This window comes from Homo sapiens, chromosome 2, assembly GCF_000001405.40.
Source record: "Homo sapiens chromosome 2, GRCh38.p14 Primary Assembly".
Classification (NCBI taxonomy): domain Eukaryota; kingdom Metazoa; phylum Chordata; class Mammalia; order Primates; family Hominidae; genus Homo; species Homo sapiens.
In genome coordinates this window covers 216,160,568-216,178,751 of record NC_000002.12, presented here as the reverse complement: position 1 = coordinate 216,178,751, position 18,184 = coordinate 216,160,568, and the positions used below count along the sequence as shown (strand labels likewise).

General features: G+C 39.1%; 1 protein-coding gene and 1 pseudogene across 1 annotated transcript in view; one reads left to right on the top strand and one right to left on the bottom strand.

The window, feature by feature from the left end:
* The window catches only part of XRCC5 (X-ray repair cross complementing 5), a 96,946-nt gene that overhangs the window by 27,542 nt on the left and 51,220 nt on the right, over positions 1-18,184 (bottom strand). The window contains exon 16 of the mRNA NM_021141.4: positions 16,704-16,773. Within this exon, the coding sequence (NP_066964.1) occupies positions 16,704-16,773 (70 nt within the window). The remainder of the gene's footprint in view (positions 1-16,703; positions 16,774-18,184) is intronic.
* Positions 2,814-3,705, top strand: LOC100421349 (heterogeneous nuclear ribonucleoprotein A1 pseudogene; annotated as a pseudogene).

The following is an 18,184-nucleotide window of genomic DNA, read 5'->3' as shown; positions in this document are numbered from 1 at the left end:
AATTTTACAGAGATGGAAATGGTTACAATAAAGCTCTATTGAAGGGGGAAATGCAGAAAGAATAACATGCTATATAAGATATATATGCAGATGTACAGGGATGAGATATCACATCCAACATTGTCATGATTATATGCATGAAGACATCTTGACGTTTTATTATTGCTTACTAAGTATGCCTCATCTCATCTTGGTGTACACCTTTTTCTTTTCTTTGATCAAGCTGCTTGATGCCACTGGGAATGGAGGGTTCTCCCAAAATGTACTGTCTCTGACTATATCCCCAATTTATTATACCCTAAAACAATTAACCATCTTGATCACAATACAGGGCATCAGTAGGGATGAACAGGGTTATTCCTATGAAGACACAGAATGTGGGTATGGGCAGAGTTTCAAAGGGAGGGAGACAATAAAGAAGGAGATGTCCACTTTTTAACTTTATATGCTATTATATTACTATTTGCATTTTCCCCCATATAAGCATGTGCTTATTTTTAATGGAAGCCTAAGAAGCAAGTAAATCATCTCGAAACAGTTAAGAGATTGTCATACAAGGAGATAAAAAACAATTGTTTCTATTTCTAGTGAGCTCTCAACAGGAAGACAATTTTCATGGGGTGACACAATACTTCTATTTCATTGATCCTTTTCTTTCTTTTTTGTTTTATTCCTTCTGAACCACATACTTTGTTCTTTTTGTTTATTACTCATATACTTAAAGAGCAGTGGTGAAAAAGGCCCTTAGAAATAATTTCATCTACTGCCCTCAGGAAATCTGAAGCAGATCTGCAGGCATATCTTATCTTTGGTTTGTAGCTTCTACCCTCCTTACAATCCCATACATTTAAAATTCCAATGTATAAGTCTTGCTGGCTTCATTACAATCCACCTCAGAATAATTAGACACAGAGCAAATTGTGGGATAATCCAACCTTAGTTATATTTTCTTCTCAGTCCATGAGACAAAAAAGGATTCAAACAAAATAAATACATGCTTGACAAAAATGGGACAAAAGAAGAAACAAATGAAAGGAATAATGAACCTATAAATTTTCAAAATCTATAAACATTGAACTAAGACTTGATGTACTTGATATACCTGCTGCCACTAAAATTGACTTTCATTTCTCACAATTAATCGCCTTTCTGCTCCAACAAGTTCCTAAAATCTACACAATTTTTCCAGTACTGAGTAAACTTATCCTCTACTAATATGATTTTTCCCTCGAAGCAGAGGATTCAGAAACACATACAGTCTTGCAGCACACATAGCTAAGTTTATTTTTCCTAAAATGCCAATACCTGAAGACTTTTATTTAACATATACTCTATTACCTGAATTGACAGTGTTTTCTTTAGTGTCACCCTGTAAAAATTCACTAGGATCTCATGACCCAAGCTGGTTTAGCTAGGTGAGACCAAAATCATAAAGGTCTCACTAGCACACAAGGTCTCAAGGTGAATAACTTTCAATACTCAAAACGTCACGGAAAACAACTAGATAGAAAGTCAAAAGACAGATTTGAACAAACTATCAACCAAATTGCCCTGACATTTCCAGCACACTTGTCCTAGTAACAGGTGAATACATGTACTTTTTAAGGCCATAGAGAACAACTGGCAGAACAGACTATATGTGAGACCACATAAGAACAAGTCTGAATAAATTCAGACGGACTGAAGCCACTCAAAGTATGATCTCCAATCATAACAGAATTAAAAATCAACAACAGGAAGAAATTGGGAAATCTTCAATATTTGGAATTTAAGAACACATTTAAATAACCCAAGAGTCAAAGAAACAATCATGAAAGACATTAGAATATATTTAAACTAAATGAAAACAAAATCATAACACATCGCAATTTATGGTGTGAAGCTAAAAAACTGCTTAGCAGGAAATGTATAGCTTTAAATGCCTATATTAGAAAAGAGGTTTCAAATCAATCATCTAAGCTTCCACCTTAAGAAACAAGAAAATGAAAAGTGAATTACAGCCAAAGTAAGAAGAAGGAATGGAATAATAAAGATCAGAGCAGAAATTAATTAAATGAGAATAATGGAGAAAATCAATAAAACTAACTAAAAGCTGGGATCTTAAAAAGATAAAATCCATAAGCCTTTACCTAGACTGACCAAGAAAAAGGGAAGATACAAAATCCCCAAATCAGAAATAAAGAACAGATCTCAAAAATATTATTATAAGGGAATAATAATCAATGTTATACTAAAAAATTAGACAAAAGGAACAAATTCTTATAAAGACATATTACTAAAACTGATTCAATAAGAAATTTTAAAACTGACCAGATTTATTAGCTTAAAAATTGGGCCCGGTGCAGTGGCTCACGCCTGTAATCCCAGCACTTTGGGAGGCCAAGGTGGGTGGATCACTTGAGGTCAGGAGTTCGAGACCAACCTAGCCAATATGGTGAAATCCCGTCTCCACTAAAAATACAAAAGTTTGCCGGGTGTGGTGGCGGGCGCCTGTCATCCCAGCTGCTTGGGAGGCTGAGGCAGGAGAATGGCTTGAACCCGGGAGACAGAGGTTGCAGTGAGTCAAGATCACACCACTACACTCCAGCCTGGGCAACAGAGTGAGACCCCGTATCCAAAAAAAAGAAAAAAATTGAATTAGTATTAAAAAGCTTCCCACAGCCTCTTCCTCACAGTTCCATGTTGAACTTGAGTTGGAGGAGGCAAGTCTAGTCTTAAAATGGAGGTAAAACCACTACCCGGTTGCCCCTAGGCTGACTCTGGCCGTTGTCATTGCCACTGCCGCCAAGAGGAGGAAGGCCATGATCCAAAGGAATCCAGCGCGGCTGAGAAAATTGTTTATTGGTGGTCTGAGCTTTAAAACTACAGATGATGGGTTAAGAGAACATTTTGAGAAAGGGGGCACACTCACAGATTGTGTGGTAATGACAGAACCCCAAGCAAACATTCCAGGGGCTTTGGTTTTATGGCTTTCTCTTGTGTTGAAGAGGTGGACACAGCAATGTGTGCTTGACCACACAAGGTTGATGGGTGTGGAGTGGAACCAAAGACAGTTGTTTCTAGAGAGGATTCTGTAAAGCCTGGTGCCCACCTAACAGTGAAGAACATTTTTGCTGGTGGTATTAAAGTAGATACAGTTTCAGAAATTACTCTGAAAACTATAGCAAGACTGAAACCATACAAGTTATGGATGACAGAGTGGAAAAAGAGAGAATGTGCACTTTTAACTTTTGATGATCATGATACAATTGATAAAACTGTTGTTTAGAAACACCACACTATTAACAAGCACAACTGTAAAGTGAAAAAGGCCCTTTCTAAACAAGAGATGCAGTCTGCAGGATCACAGAGGTGATGGAGGTGGATCTGACAACTTTATGGGTTGTGGAGGAAACTCTGGAAGTGGTGCAAGTAATTTTGGCTGTGGTGGAAACTTTGGTGGAAGAGGAGGCTCTGGTGGTAGAAGTAGAGGTGGTGGCAGCAGAGGTGGTTATGGAGGGTGTAATGGTGGATATAATGGATGTGGAGGTGACGGTGGGCAACAATGGTGGTGGGCCTGCCTACAGCAGTAGTGGGGGCTATGGAGATGGTGAACCAGGATATGAAAACCACAATGGCGGGTATGGGGATAGTGGTGAAGGATATGATGGTTACAATGAAGGAGGAAATTTTGGCAGTGGTAACTATGGTGGTGGTGGGAACTATAATGATTCTGGAAATTTTAGCAGACAAAAACAATCAAATTATGAACCCATTAAAGGGTGCAGTTTTGGTGGAAGAAGCTCGGGGAGTTCCTGTGGTGGTGGTGGTTACGGATCTGGCGGTAGACGTGACGGATATGGTAGCAGAAGGTTCTAAAAACAGCAGAGAGGGGCTACAATTCTTAGCAGGAGAAAGAACAAGGAGTTGTCACAAAAGTTGCAGGTTATTTGAGATAGTCATCCCAAATGCATTAGAGGAACTGTAAAAATCTGCCACAGAAGGAATGGTGATCCATGGTCAGAAAAGTTATTGCAGCTTAAACAGAAAACCCTTCTTGTGCAGGACTATCATAGCCACAGTTTGCAAAAGTGCAGCTATTAATGAATGCAATATAGTGTCGATTAGACGTACATTCCTGAGCTCTTTTATCTGTTGTAGCTTTGTCTGTTTCTTTTTCATTACATCAAGTATATTGCCCTGTAAATTGTGGTAGTGATAACAGGAATAAAAAAATTAAAGAACTTTCAACTTTTCAATATTTGTGTAGTTTTTCTGTATTTTAGTACAGAAACTTAAAATGCAGTTTTGAAGGTATTTTCTTTTGAGTTAACAAATAAAGAAGATTATTGTTAATTACTATTTTGTATAAATTTTGCTAAAGTTAACTATAAAGAAACATATGCTGACTTGCAGCTCAAGGGGAATCTACTGTCCCCATTTCCAAACCATGACATGAATGGGCACTGACATGTGAAGAGAAGAGATATTTGTATGTTTGCAATGTGTGTTTTAGATTAATAGGATTTGGTATTTAAATTAGCATATTTTTGAATTTAAGAGCATTAAGGTGACCTTCAAATGAAACAATCTCAAAATTCAAAAAACAAAACAAAACAAAAGCTCCCCACAAAGAACTCAGATGGCTTCACTGGTAAATTATATGAAATATGTAAAGAATAAATAATAGAAATCTTGAAGAGAAGGAAACTTCCTAACTCATTCTATGAGTCCAGTATTTTCCTGTTACCAAAACCAAAGACATCACACAAAACAAGAAAACTACAAACAATTTCCCAACAAAATATTAGCTGTCTTAGTGTATTTTGTGCTGCTATAACAGAATACCCAAGACTGGGTAATTTATAAAGAACAGATATTTATTTAGCTCACAGTTCTGGAGGCTGGGAAGTCTAAGAGCATGACACCGGCAGCTGGAGGAGACCACCCCACATCAGAAGGCAGAAGCAAGCCAGAGACAGAGAAGAAATCAGGCCGAACTCATCCTTTTTATAACTAACCCACTCAAGTGATAATGGCCTGAATCCTTTCATGAGAATGATGCCTCCATGACCTAATTACTTCTTAAAGGTCCCACCTCTCAACACCGTTAGAATGGGGATTAAGTTTCCAACACATAAACTTTGGGTGACATTATTCAAACTGTAGCATTAGCTAAATGAATTCAGTACATATAAAAAGGATTTTATAGAACGACTGGATTTTATACTTGGAATGCAAGGTTGATTTAACAACTATAAGTCAATTAATATATTAGCAGAAGAATAAAAATCACAGTCATCTCAATAGAGGCAGAAAATGCATCTAACAAAACTCAACATCCATTCATAATAAAAACTTTCAACCAATTAGAAATAGAAGGAAACTTTCTCAAGCTGACAAAGGAAATCTGGGTAAAACTTACAACTAACATCATACTAATAGTGAAAGACAAAGGTTTTTCCTTAAGATCAGGAACAGGGCAAGGATGTTCACTCTTATTTCTATTCAACACTGTGCCAGAAGTTCCAGCCAGTACAATAATTAAAAAAAAAGAAAGAAAAACTTACAAGTTATAAAAGAAGAAGTAAAGCTTTCTTTATTTGCAGACAATATGATCCTGTATGTAGAGAATCCTAAGAAGTATATTTAAAAAACCACAAGAACTAATAAGTTTAATAAGGTTGCAAGATATAATAAATAAATAATTTCATTTCTATATACCAGCAACAAATAATCCAAAAATAAAATTAAAAAACAATTCCACTCACAACATCATCAAAAAGAATACTTGGCAATAAATTTAATAAAAGAGCTGTATAGCTTGTACACTAAAAACTATAAAACATTATGGAGAAAAAATAAGATCTAAATAAATGAGTAACTATTCCATGTTCATGGATAACTCAGTATTATTAAAATGGCAATTTTCCCTTAACTCTTCTATAGACTCAATAAAATCCCTATCAAAATACCAGTGGGTTTTTCATATAAATTGAAAAGCTGGGCCAGGCACGGCAGCTCACGCATGTAATCCCAAAACTTGGAGGCCAAGGCAGGTTGATCACCTCAGGTCAGGAGTTCAACCAGCCTGGTCAACATGGCGAAACCCTGTCTCTATTAAAAAAATACAAACATGAGCCAGGCGTAGTACCTCATGCCTGTAATCCCAGCTACTCAGGAGGCTGAGGCACGAGAATCACTTGAACCCGGGAGGTGGAGGCTACAGTGAGCTAGGATCGCACCACTGTGCTCCAGCCTGGGTGACAGAGTGAGACTTTGTCTCAAAAAAAAAAAAAAAAAGAAAAGAAAAGCTGATGCTAAAGTTTCCATGGAAACGCAAATGACATAGAGTAGTTAAAACATTTTTAGAAAAGAACAAAGTTGGAGTGTATCCGAGTATTCTATTTTTTAGTCTTTTTTTCTTAAACTTTTCCTTCTGAGGCCCTTTGTATTAACTTTTTAGTTATGAAATAACAACCTTTACTCTCCTCCTTTCCACCAGACACTCCACTGCATTGCTAGCTTGTCTAATTATGTTTGCTTAGAAGTTCCAGAGACAATCCAGGTATCTATAGAATGTTCCACCACCGGGTTATTACTTGAAGGCTGCAGCTAATTTACAACTCGTCAGGCCCAAGATGGCGCCAGCCCATTCAACAGATGGTGCAATAACTCAGGATTATCAGAACAAGTCATGTAGGCCAGCATCACCTTGCAACCTCCCACCACCTGTGTGCACTCCAGACCCAAACTGACTATGAACAGGTCCCAGGAATTTTTGGGTGTGAGAGAAATGTTCTTTGAACTGTGGTGATAATTTCACAACTCTATAATTTACAAAAGATCATCAAATTATACTTACCAGTATATTTTATAGTAGAAGATTTTACTTCAATAAAGCTATTTTAAAAAGTAGAATTAATAAGTGCAATTTATCTAAGAGACTTGTAGAGATTTACCACAGACAGAAGAGAGAAACTAGATGTTTCTATCACAGAATAAGTATGAAAACTTAGACAGTGTATCTTACTCTCAATGCCCCAAGAAAACATTATTGGATTCCAAGAGCAAGGGAATTGTAAAAAAGTAGTTCTTATATGAGCAATGGCTCCTGACTTCAAATGGCTACCAATGAAATACCATATTATCCTGAGTGTTATGGCTGAGCCTCATTACCACTGAGAGACATGAACAGATAACTACAGATTTCAGTAGTTTAATCTGACAGAGGAAAATAAAAACGGGCCTTTAATTATGACTATTAACTGAAGATTTTTCTCCAACCTCTAAAACATAAGGAACCTCTAAAAACAAGTTAAATTTTCTCCCATTTCCAAAGACATCTAAGCTGGTAATATTCTCCAGCCCTGCTGAAACTGTTCTATAAAGGAATTAAACTCCCTTCCCTTTTCTGGCCAAAGAAGCAAGCACGACATTTTTCTAGGTTTTATGTAGACACGCATGGATCTGACAGGCTAACTGTACCAAATTACACTTGCCACTTCTTTCTGTGTCAGCATATTTTTTGCCTTGGGCATGCAATTTGAAAGGGGAGGACCCAAACACTTTTATTGCATTTAAGTGGAACTCCTAGCTGTTTCTTGGCTCCTCTTAACACATTTCAGTTCATTAGTGACTATTTTAACAAAAGCCTAACATCCTTTCCTAAATATCTTAATTGGTTAAGAGCGTCTGTTGTTTGCCACCAGCAGTCACTTCAAGTCATTGATTAAAGCAGTTTGCACATCAGCACAATCTGAAACCGGTTTCCTTTTTCAACCAGCTGGGCTTAAGGAGCAATCTTGAAGACAGCCCAATTCAAGGAGAACCAAGTACAATACCCTACATGACATGACAATGACCTACCATGGAAGGAAGAACTGCAGAATTTAACAGGAGGTGGAAAGAAAGAACCAAATTGCCATGAGTAAATCCTTGAACTGCTCTCTGTCTCACAAATCATACTCATTAGCACTTACTGCAAGGGTGAATTCTAAGAGCAAGCTGCAGGCCCTTTCTCCTAAGCACCCAAGAGTTCTGCATTTCCATCGGAACCAATTGTGAGCACCTGCCTTGTTGCACTGATGGCCCAAGTCATTGATGCAAGCTGAAATGATATGGTTTGGATTTGTGTCCCGCCCAAATCTCATATCAAATTAGAGGAGGAGCCTGGTAGGAGGTGAATGAATCACGGCAGAGGACTTCCCCTTTGCTGTTCTTGTGACAGTGAGTTCTTTTGATATCTCATGGTTTAAAAGTGTCTCTCTCTCTCTCTCTCTCCTTCATAGAAGACTGGTATCAGGAGTGATTTAGTATATTAAGTAAAGGCTTGAATGGACTCTGGGCTCATCTAGTTATGATGCTGAGAAAGCCTTCATGAATTCCATTTTCAGCCAGATGGGAAATTATTCTTTCCATTTTTAATATAAAAAGAGAAAAATTACTCAGCACATTTAAGGGAAGCAACTTTCCTATGTAGCATGAGAAAACAAAACACTGGGAGAAAACAGGAACACTGTCATATATTTCATAAGGACTTTTTAAAAAGCTCTCAGGAAGAAATTCAGGTGCTCACTGAGAAATGTAAACTAGAAATCCTAAGCTCCCCACTGATGAAATGGACCCCCTCTTGACAAAGGGGATCCCAGAAAACCTTAACTGAGTTTTTGGTCATGACACGACAAGGGGTCAAGTGCATCTTTTTTTTTTTTTTTTTTTTTTTTTTTTTTTTTGAGACACAGTCTTGCTCTGTCGCCAGGCTGGAGTGCAGTGGCACGATTTCAGCTCACTGCAACCTCCGCCTCCCGGGTTCAAGCAATTTTCCTGCCTCAGCCTCCCAAGTAGCTGAGACTACAGGTGCGCACCACCATGCCCACCTAAGTTTGTTTTTTTTTTTTTTAGTTTCACCATGTTGCCCAGGATGGTCTCAATCTCTTGACCTCCTGATCTGCCCACCTCAGCCTCCCAAAGTGCTGGGATTATAGCCATGAGCCACTGCGCCCGGCCAGGTGCATTTCATTATACCCCTCCTTTTTGCAATTTAGACACAACCTTCCAGCATTAATTTTAAAATAGGTATCATAAGACTGAGAGAACAAACTGTAGTAAACAGGACCTAAGGCCATGCCAGGCAAGGGTTAAGTCGCACCCCTTAAACTTAAAGAATAAACTATGTTCTAACTGCCAAAAGGTTTTTCTTTTTCTTAAGCAGCTAAAAAAGCACTGGCCTTGGGATAAGCAATATTGTTTTTAAAACAATTTGCAGCTCTACCAGATGCTGACTTACTGAACTCTTGTTCCACCAGCCATAACTACAGCTTTGATTGGACAAGAGAGTGATTTCGGTAACTTTCTCCTGATAAGAAGACCACCAACCACGGACTGGTTCTAGTGGGTTTTACAAAGATGGCACATTTGCATGCTGTGTCCTGAAAAGACCTTTTGATGTACAGGGTCTAACTGTAATATTTAAATGTCAAGTCTTCCCTGCAAGGTGAACATGGGTATTACGTAACATGCATGTTTAATACTCATGCATCAGGACCACCTTCATGAATATTCATAGCTCCTCCTGTAACCTGCTGAATATGTATGTTTAGTCAATCAGGTCAGCAATAATGCTCTTACCCCAAACCCTCCTTCATAGTGCCTGTCTCTGGGCTTTGGCTGGAGGCCATGTTTCCCAGCCTTTGAATAGACTAGGAATAGCCTTTCCCAGGCTTTCATCAAAAGTCCTATCAACAGGCACAAGGTTTCAGATATGTGACCCTATAATGTTGTTTTAAAAAGTGTAGGAAAAGAAGGCATTAGGAATCAAAAGAAACAGTATGGCTAAGTAAAAAATCCAGTATTTGAAAGAGACATGCGTTTGAATTCCTATGTGATCTTTGGGGAAAATGTATCTCCTCCAATTTTAGTTTATCTATCAGTAGAATGGGGATAATAATACTTACTGTAACTTATATGCGATCTAGGGTCCACTTGGCCTTGCTATTTCCACCTTGCAAGCTGTAACCCTTTATAAGAAATAAAGCTCTCTTTTTCTAAATTTATAGATCTTGTGATTTTTTTCAGTTAACAGAATGTAACTACAGCAAACATGCTTTCATTTTTATGCTACCACACATTTCTCTTTCTTAATGGATAGCCAGGCTACATTTTACAAGAGCTATATCCTGTAATTAGGGATATTCTGATACAGATTGACAGGAACTTAAAAGGATTTTAAAGGCTGGGTAAGAATAGATGAAAGCCTTTTAGGAAGAGTCGCTGAAAAATGAAAATACTTAAAATGATTATGTGTGCATAATGGTCTTTAGTTTCTACGTCATGTGCTTTTTATTTTTTCTTTTCATCTCTATTTCAATGATTTCATCTAAATTATTTGGCTGCTGAGTTTCATTATATTAAGATGTAAACTTCAGGGTGGTGCTGTGCCATCCAATGAAATATACACAACCAGTAAAAAGGTTTAAGCCACAGAGGCCAAGAATTGGCTCTCTGGAATTTGATCCAGAGTCTTTCACATATTTGCAATTATCTGTGAAAAGTCATCCTAACTACTCTGGGCCTCAGTCCGCCCACATGAAAGATGAACAACACCTTAAAGGCCAATGGTGCATAATTACGATGTCAGATAACACACCCTTTCAGCAAGTATTCTCTACAATTCCAAACACACTGATTTTTGTGTTACAATGAGACCACTTGTCCTGATAAATGAGGCATAAAATAAGCCTGGATTGTCAGGTTCTGAGGTTTAATAATTTAAAATGAGTCAAAAAGAAAACCAGTGAAAAACAAGTGAGATATTTAATAAAAATACAAAGTACAGACTAAACCTCTGGAATCCTTAATCATGAATTTTCTCATGATTAGATGTATCAATGCTATTTGGAGAAAGGACTAAAAAAGTATGTCAAATTCTTTAAGAAAAAAACTTTTATAGGGCTAAAGATGTTTAAAATTTTAGTGACTGTTTGTATTTAGCATCTTTAAGATGCTCAAGGTATTTGAAAGAGCTTATTTTTCTTAAATTTACCAGCGCTGTGTAGAAAAACGCCATATTTTTATCTTCTTATCTATCTGGGCAGAGTATAATTCATTATATAATTCATACCCAAGATTACATGAATCAGGATCAATTAAAAAAAATCACACACACACACACACACACACACACACACACACACACACACAAACCCACACACACACACGAGAGAGATTTCTGCTAGATCACAATTCTCGAAGGTTCACTGTTTAGGGCTTGACTCCTGGCAGAAAATCACATAATGTATGTAAGTAAACAGCTATGCAAATGGGATAGTGCTATACCATACAAAACCAACACTGAAAACTATTTGGCTTTGATGAATATCATATTATTACTAATTGTACCATATTCTATCTAGTGCTGAAATTGCTTGGAAAAAGTGAATTTTAGGAAATATCTTTTAAAAATGAAAGGATGTTTCTAGTAAGTGAGATTAAAGAAGGTTGAAGAACAAAGGCAAAAAGACTCTAGGATGAGACGTAATCCAAACAAAGTGAAAGGGGAAAAAAATGAAGTGATCACCTTCTAATCAAATGGACAAGTACATATTACTGCTCTCTTGTACATGAGTCAAATGTTAAGGCTGTTTGGGGTCTGTATTATTTCTACTTAGGTCTTCTCTTGACAGACTTTTTTTAAACCAGTCAGGCTCAAGTGAATTCAATTTGGTAACATGGAGCTCTGCCACCCTGTCACTACACACAAGCCTAATACAGAAACTACAATCTCAGTGGCAAAAACAAGGTCCCTGAAAGAGAATCGTCTCATTATAAAGTTAAGTTACATTCCATCCTTTTATCTGTCCCCATATATCCATCCTTTCTGGCTCTTAAGATCCTCACAAAACCTGTTTTTGACACACCAAGAACATTCAAGCTATTTTACATTATCTCCCATACTCAGTGGGAATTTATAAATTCAGACATAATCGCGCAGGAATTGTCCGGAGGAAAGAAGTAATGTGGCTTTTCCTTCTTGAACCTGCTGTCTATCTTTTGACATTTTATTATTTTATTTTATTTTAGCATTCTTCCTAAGTTGGGAAAGCGCAAGGAGCTGAAAATCATGGCATTCCTCCTTAGCAACTCTGTTGATTAGCTGGGTGGAAGATATCCAAACAAGTGGATAAACTCAATGTAAAGAGCCTCTGGAGACTCTGAAACCCACAACGACAGGTAACAAATCCCAGATGATGGCAATGATGTGCTTATGAATAGTGTATGTAGGGAAACAACCCTACTTTCATAACTGATAGATGATTATTATATATACAGCTGTGGTCAAAATTTTTTCTGAGCTGGACTTGGTGGCTCACACCTGTAATCCCAGCACTTTGGGAGGCCAAGGCAGGCAGATCGCTTGAACTCAGGAGTTCAGGACCAGCCTGGATAACATGGCGAAACCTCATCTCTACAAAAACTACAAAAATTAGCCTGGTGTGGTAGTGTGTGCCTGTAGCTCCAGGTACTTGGCGGGGTGGAGGTGGTAGAATCACTTGAGCCCAGGAGGTAGAGGCTGCAGTGAGCTGTGATCATGCTACTGCACTCCAGTCTGGGCGACAGACTGAGACCCCTTCACAAAAAAGGAAAAGAGAAAAAAAATTGTTTTCTATTCTAACTCTGTGGTGATAGAATGGTGATGGGTAGGGAGAATGGAGGAAAGGGACTGGGAAAAGGGCAGCCAGAAAGAACATGCTTCCTGGGGTTCAGGGCATTGGTTATCTCCTCTCTGCCAGTAAGCTTAGAACAAGATACATCCCTCACACTGAAAACCAGAAGTTAAGAAAATGTGTAGCTGCCTACTATATATAGACTGCTGATGTCGGGGACAGAATCACAAGACTCTCAGTTTGATTATGCTACTATCAGGCCTGAGAAAAAGTAACTACACCCATATTTTAATTTATAATGATAGGTAAAACAGCCGAGTTCTACCTAAGGGTCAAACAATCTTACCAACTATCTATCGCTGATCGCCCTTTTGACAACTGAATTTTAAAAAATAAATTTACTGGAGAAAAGGGGAAGGGATTCCTGTCTCCCGACTCTGGACAGAAATCTCTCTAAAAGAAGACCACTACTAGGGAGGGAGAACTCTTTGGGCCTGCAAGAGAAGTGAGTCTTGGCTTATAAAGGGCGTTAGTAAAAAGATGCCCTAGCGGAAAAACAAACAAACAAGATGCCCAAAACAAAGAACAGGACATCAATTCTGGAGCTGGCACCAAGAACGGCAGAAGGGATAAAACGGAAGCCAAGTTAAAATCACGAGAACTAGTTGCTAATAAGCAATCCATTTTCCGACAGCTCTGTGGAGAGTCTGGTTTTGTGACATCACTAGAGGGCTCTGATTCACCAAGTCTTAGACGGAGGTCAGAGGGACATCTTTTGTCGAAATACTAGCAACATGCTGGGTCTCAAAGTCAAATTCAATATAAAAGAACAATCTATTCATCAAAAGTCCTATCAGTAGGTACAAGGTTTCAGATACACGACCTTAAAATGTTGTTTTAAAAAGCGTAGGAAAGGAAGTCATTAGGAATCAAAAGAAACAATATGGCTACGTAAAAAATCCAGTATTTGAAAGAGACATGTGTTTGAATTCCTATGTGATCTTTGGGAAAATGCATCTCCTCCAATTTTACAGTTTATCCATCAGTAAAATGGAGATAATAATACTAATTGTTAACTTACATGCTATCTAGGGTCCGCTTGCCCTTGCTATTTTCACAAGACTGCTCTGAATCCCCAATCCCATGGCCAGGGGTAAGACATATTTTCCTAAGATGTGAGTAGATTCTCAGTAACTGACTCTCTCCTGGTCTTTTCAGACTCTGGCCTCCTGTGTGCTCAGGTGCTTTCTCTGCTCTGCATGAAATAATGCCAGATACCAAACTGCCAGTTTCCCCAAATACAGCACTTAAACCTGGCATTTCCAGAGTTGTACTGACACTGAGTAATTTGTGGTCATGAGTTTGAAACGTATTGTAGAAGGCCGTGACTGTGCGTAAATTCACCCACTTTGTCTCCCTGCCTCTCCCCTCTTCTTCTAAGCCCCTCCTCTCCTAAACCAGCTCCAGTTTTTCTACTTCTATGATGCTGAGGAGCTTCCTTTCCTCCGAAGCCTCTGGACTAGCCAACCAAGTCTGGGGATGGAGACTCATTCTCTACCCTAAGCACTTATCAAAGTTATTTTCCCAAGTAAAGCAATCCTCTCAGAAAATTCTGGCAAAAGCTGTTAAAGCTCTAACATTTTCTTCATTTCTTCACAAGATTTTGCAGAACTGCTAATGCAGGGTAATTAAAATAACATAAAAGTGCTAGCACAATGCCTTGAACATAGTAAATATGAAACCGCTAGTGGCTACCATATAATGGTGATGACAGCTAGATTCAGTCCCTGAAAAGACCATGCCTACACCAACCACAGAGTCCAATCACTTCCAAACGGGGGACCTTGGACTTTGACTGGCTGAGGTAATTGACGACATACAATTGAAAGCTAGGAAAGTCTCAATTTTCCTTCAAAAACACAATAGTCTTGATAGACAAGAGTTCATTGACTTGTCACAGCAGCATCTCCGCCACTTTCCGAGCACCCTGTAACAATATACAGCTGAACAGACAACAGGTATAATACTGTGAAAGTGTCTTGATCACTCCAATACATTAAAGAGAGAAATTCTGAAGTACTGTTTTCACCAATCCTAGAAAACTGTCACTTAGAACTTCAGATCTCCTTCTATTTACATGAGGTTTTGTTTTGTGTTAAAACTCAAAGTTTTTCTCCTATATGGCAACTTTTAGCAGGACAAAAAGCTCTTCTTCCATCTCAAAACCAAAAACATATACACCCCACTTAAGAGACTGCAGATTACTGTGATAACGAAGCTGTTCTTCCTCTGGAGATTCTCATGGTTTGGCCTTTGGCATTCCTGCTGACAGGATTTAAGCCTGGTAGACTGTAAGCTCTCTCTGAGGCTCAGCTGCTCATGCTTGCCTCTGGACAACAGCACAGTAGATCTGGGGATCTTGCCAGGATTCCTAGACTGCAAGTAGTAAGATGCATTAGACCTACTGCAGGCAGTAGTGCTTCTAGGCATTTAACTCTCATTTTTGGGCCGGGCACGGTGGCTCATGCCACCGTGGCTCACAGTAATCCCAGCACTTTGGGAGACCAAGGTGGGCAGATCACTTGAGGTCAAGAGTTCAAGACCAGCCTGGCCAACATAACGAAACCCCGTCTGTGCTAAAAATACAAAAATTAGCCGGGCGTGGGGGTATGCAACTGTAGTTCCAGCTACTCAGGAGGCCAGGGTGAAGGCTGCAGTAAGCTGAGATCTCACCACTGCACTCCAGCCTGGGCAACAGAGCAAGATTCTGTCCCCCCAAAAAAAAGAAAAAGAAAAAAAGTAATTTTTGGCCAGGCATGGTGACTTACACATGTAATCTCAGAGCTTTGGGAGGCCGAAGTGGGAGGATCACTTGAGCCCAGAGGTCCAACGTTATAGTGAGCTATGATCCTGCCACTGCACTCCAGCCTGGGTGACACAGCGAGACCCTGTCACTAAAAAAAAAAAAGTGATTCCCCTGCTCCCTGCAGGATGTTGGAAGAGAAAGTTCTATACACACATGAACAAACATAAACACTCACATACGTAGAAGTCAGCTCGCAGACAGGCCAGACTTGGACCAGCAATAATGAATATAATAGTTTATATATAAACCTGCAGGATTAACAACTGCCAGTTGCCACCATTTAAAGGGTAAATGAACAGAAACCTGAATGCAATCAAGTGAATGAATGTTAGTTCCAGGCCCTCTGTGCATCCCTGAAAGCTATTTTTATGTTAGCCACAGCCTAAATGAGATTCTAGGTACTACCTGATAAGGAAAAGTGACCATGCAGCCATTTTGAGAAGGATTAAATTTAGGGGCAGCATCAAGGTCTTTCTAGGTCTACTATAAATGGGCCACAAACTCTTAGGACTGGAACAAGAATTATGTGTCTCTGAAAATAGGAAGATGTGGCCGGGCACGATGGCTCACACCTGTTATCCCAGCACTTTGGGAGGCTGAGGCTGGCAGATCACCTGAGGTCAGGAGTTCAAGACCAGCCTGACCAACATGGAGAAACCCCGTCTAAACAAAATTAGCTGGGCATGGTGGTGCACGCCTGTAATCCCAGCTACTCGGGAGGCTGAGGTAGGAGAATCGCTTCAACTCGGGAGGCAGAGGTTGTGGTGTGCTGAAATCATGCCATTGCACTCCAGCCTGGGCAACAAGAGAGAAACTCCATCTCAAAAAAAAAAAGAAAAAAAAGGAAGAAAATAAAATAGGAAGATGTGACATAAAAGTGTTTTATTTATAGCTCACGACAAAATCCTAAAAAACTTCAATGAAGTGGAGCTATAAGCGCCAAGGTGTTGGCCCAAAGTTTTTCTGTAGGGAGACCTACAAATTAGTTCCTTTTGAGAAAATCTGTGCTGAGTTCACTTTCATGTGCTCATAATGTTGCCTCAGTGAGCTCCCTAACAAGGGAAAACCACAAAGATCCGCCAGTAAAGAAAAATGCTAAAGTGTTACAACAAAAGGCTACAGTTCTTAATCTAGACTTTAAATTAGTTAGCTTAACTAAACAGCTTCTCCTAAATGCAAAGTCAACCACTCACCTTCCTCAAAGCTGGCCTTCTTCTGTTTCACTAGAACACGGAAGTTTTCAGCAGGATTCACACTTCCAACCTAAAATATACCAACAGATGATAAACCTACAGGTTATTTCTCTTTTTAGCAGCACCCCAGGCAATACAAGATGGCTTAATGTAATAAGTGTGCTCTTATAAAATAAAACCAAAGACAAAGAGAAGGGCTTTTCTATTCATTTTCATTTCTAGGGCTCTGTGAAAGGCCGGCAGATTTCAGTGGTCCAAGAGCTGCCCTCTGTGCTTTCACTCACCTTGCTTTATGAAAGCTGATTTCTTTCCAGAAGGGTCAAAAAAGTATTACAACTCAAGCCACCAGCCAGCCCAGCTGGAAGGCTTTGTGTAGCACAGACTGCCTGTATATCCTGTCACCCAACCAATTAGAAAGCCGAGGATTCTGCAGTGTGGGGTCGGTTTCGAATAGATTTGCCCCACTAAGATAACATGAGAAATACAGCTTAATGCCTGATTCACCGAAGTGCCCATTAGTGGGACTGCTGCTGACCCTTTGGCACTGAAGTTTTGGTAGAATATACAAAGCATACCCAGGTTGAACATGTCCTCAGAAAGTAAAAGCAGATTATGTACAAAGATGTACTGCAGTGCTGGGTGAGGAAGTTTGAAAGACGAAACTGCCATATTATATGGAACTTTCTGATTATACCTATGTTTTTAATCTGCTGGCCCCAACCCTCACAGGGCCTAAGAACCACTCAGCTCATAAGAAAGAAAACAATGGGGTTCCAAAATATACTAAAGCTTCCAGTTTGCTTGGATATAGGAAGCAGAAAAGCTCTCAGAACAAGATCATGACTTTTTCCTTTACTATTATATATAAAACATCTAAATGAAATCTAAATCATTTTTCACACATTCAATTTTTCTGAGTTTCTGTTTGAGGTGAGAATAAAGGCATGCCCTTTATTCCCTGACTATCCTTCCTAGTACATTGTGTTAAAAAGTTATCGGCCAATTTTTAAGATTTGTTGATTCACACTAATGCTGCTTAGAACAAGGCACTATTTGGCTGGGTGCAGTGACTCATGACTATAATCCCAGTGCTTCGGGAGGCTGAAGCGGGAGGATTGCTTGAGCCCAGGAGTAACATACTGAGACCCCACCTCTATGAAAAATAGCCGGGTATGGTGGCATGTACCCTTAGTCCTAGCTACACAGGAGGCTGAGGCAGGAGGACCACTTGAGCTCAGGATTTCAAGGCTGCAGTGAGCTAAAATCACACTACTGTACTCCGGCGTGGGTGACAGTGACAACCTATCTCTAAAATTAAATAAAATATTCTTCCTCCTGGCTGACCAAGATATAAAAATTAATTAATTAATTAATTAATTAATTAAGGTAGTATTTTCAAGTTCCAAAAAATTTCTCATTCAATAAAAATCTCATGTATCAAAGGATACATTCTTGGGGAAATCCTAAACTTGTGAATCCTG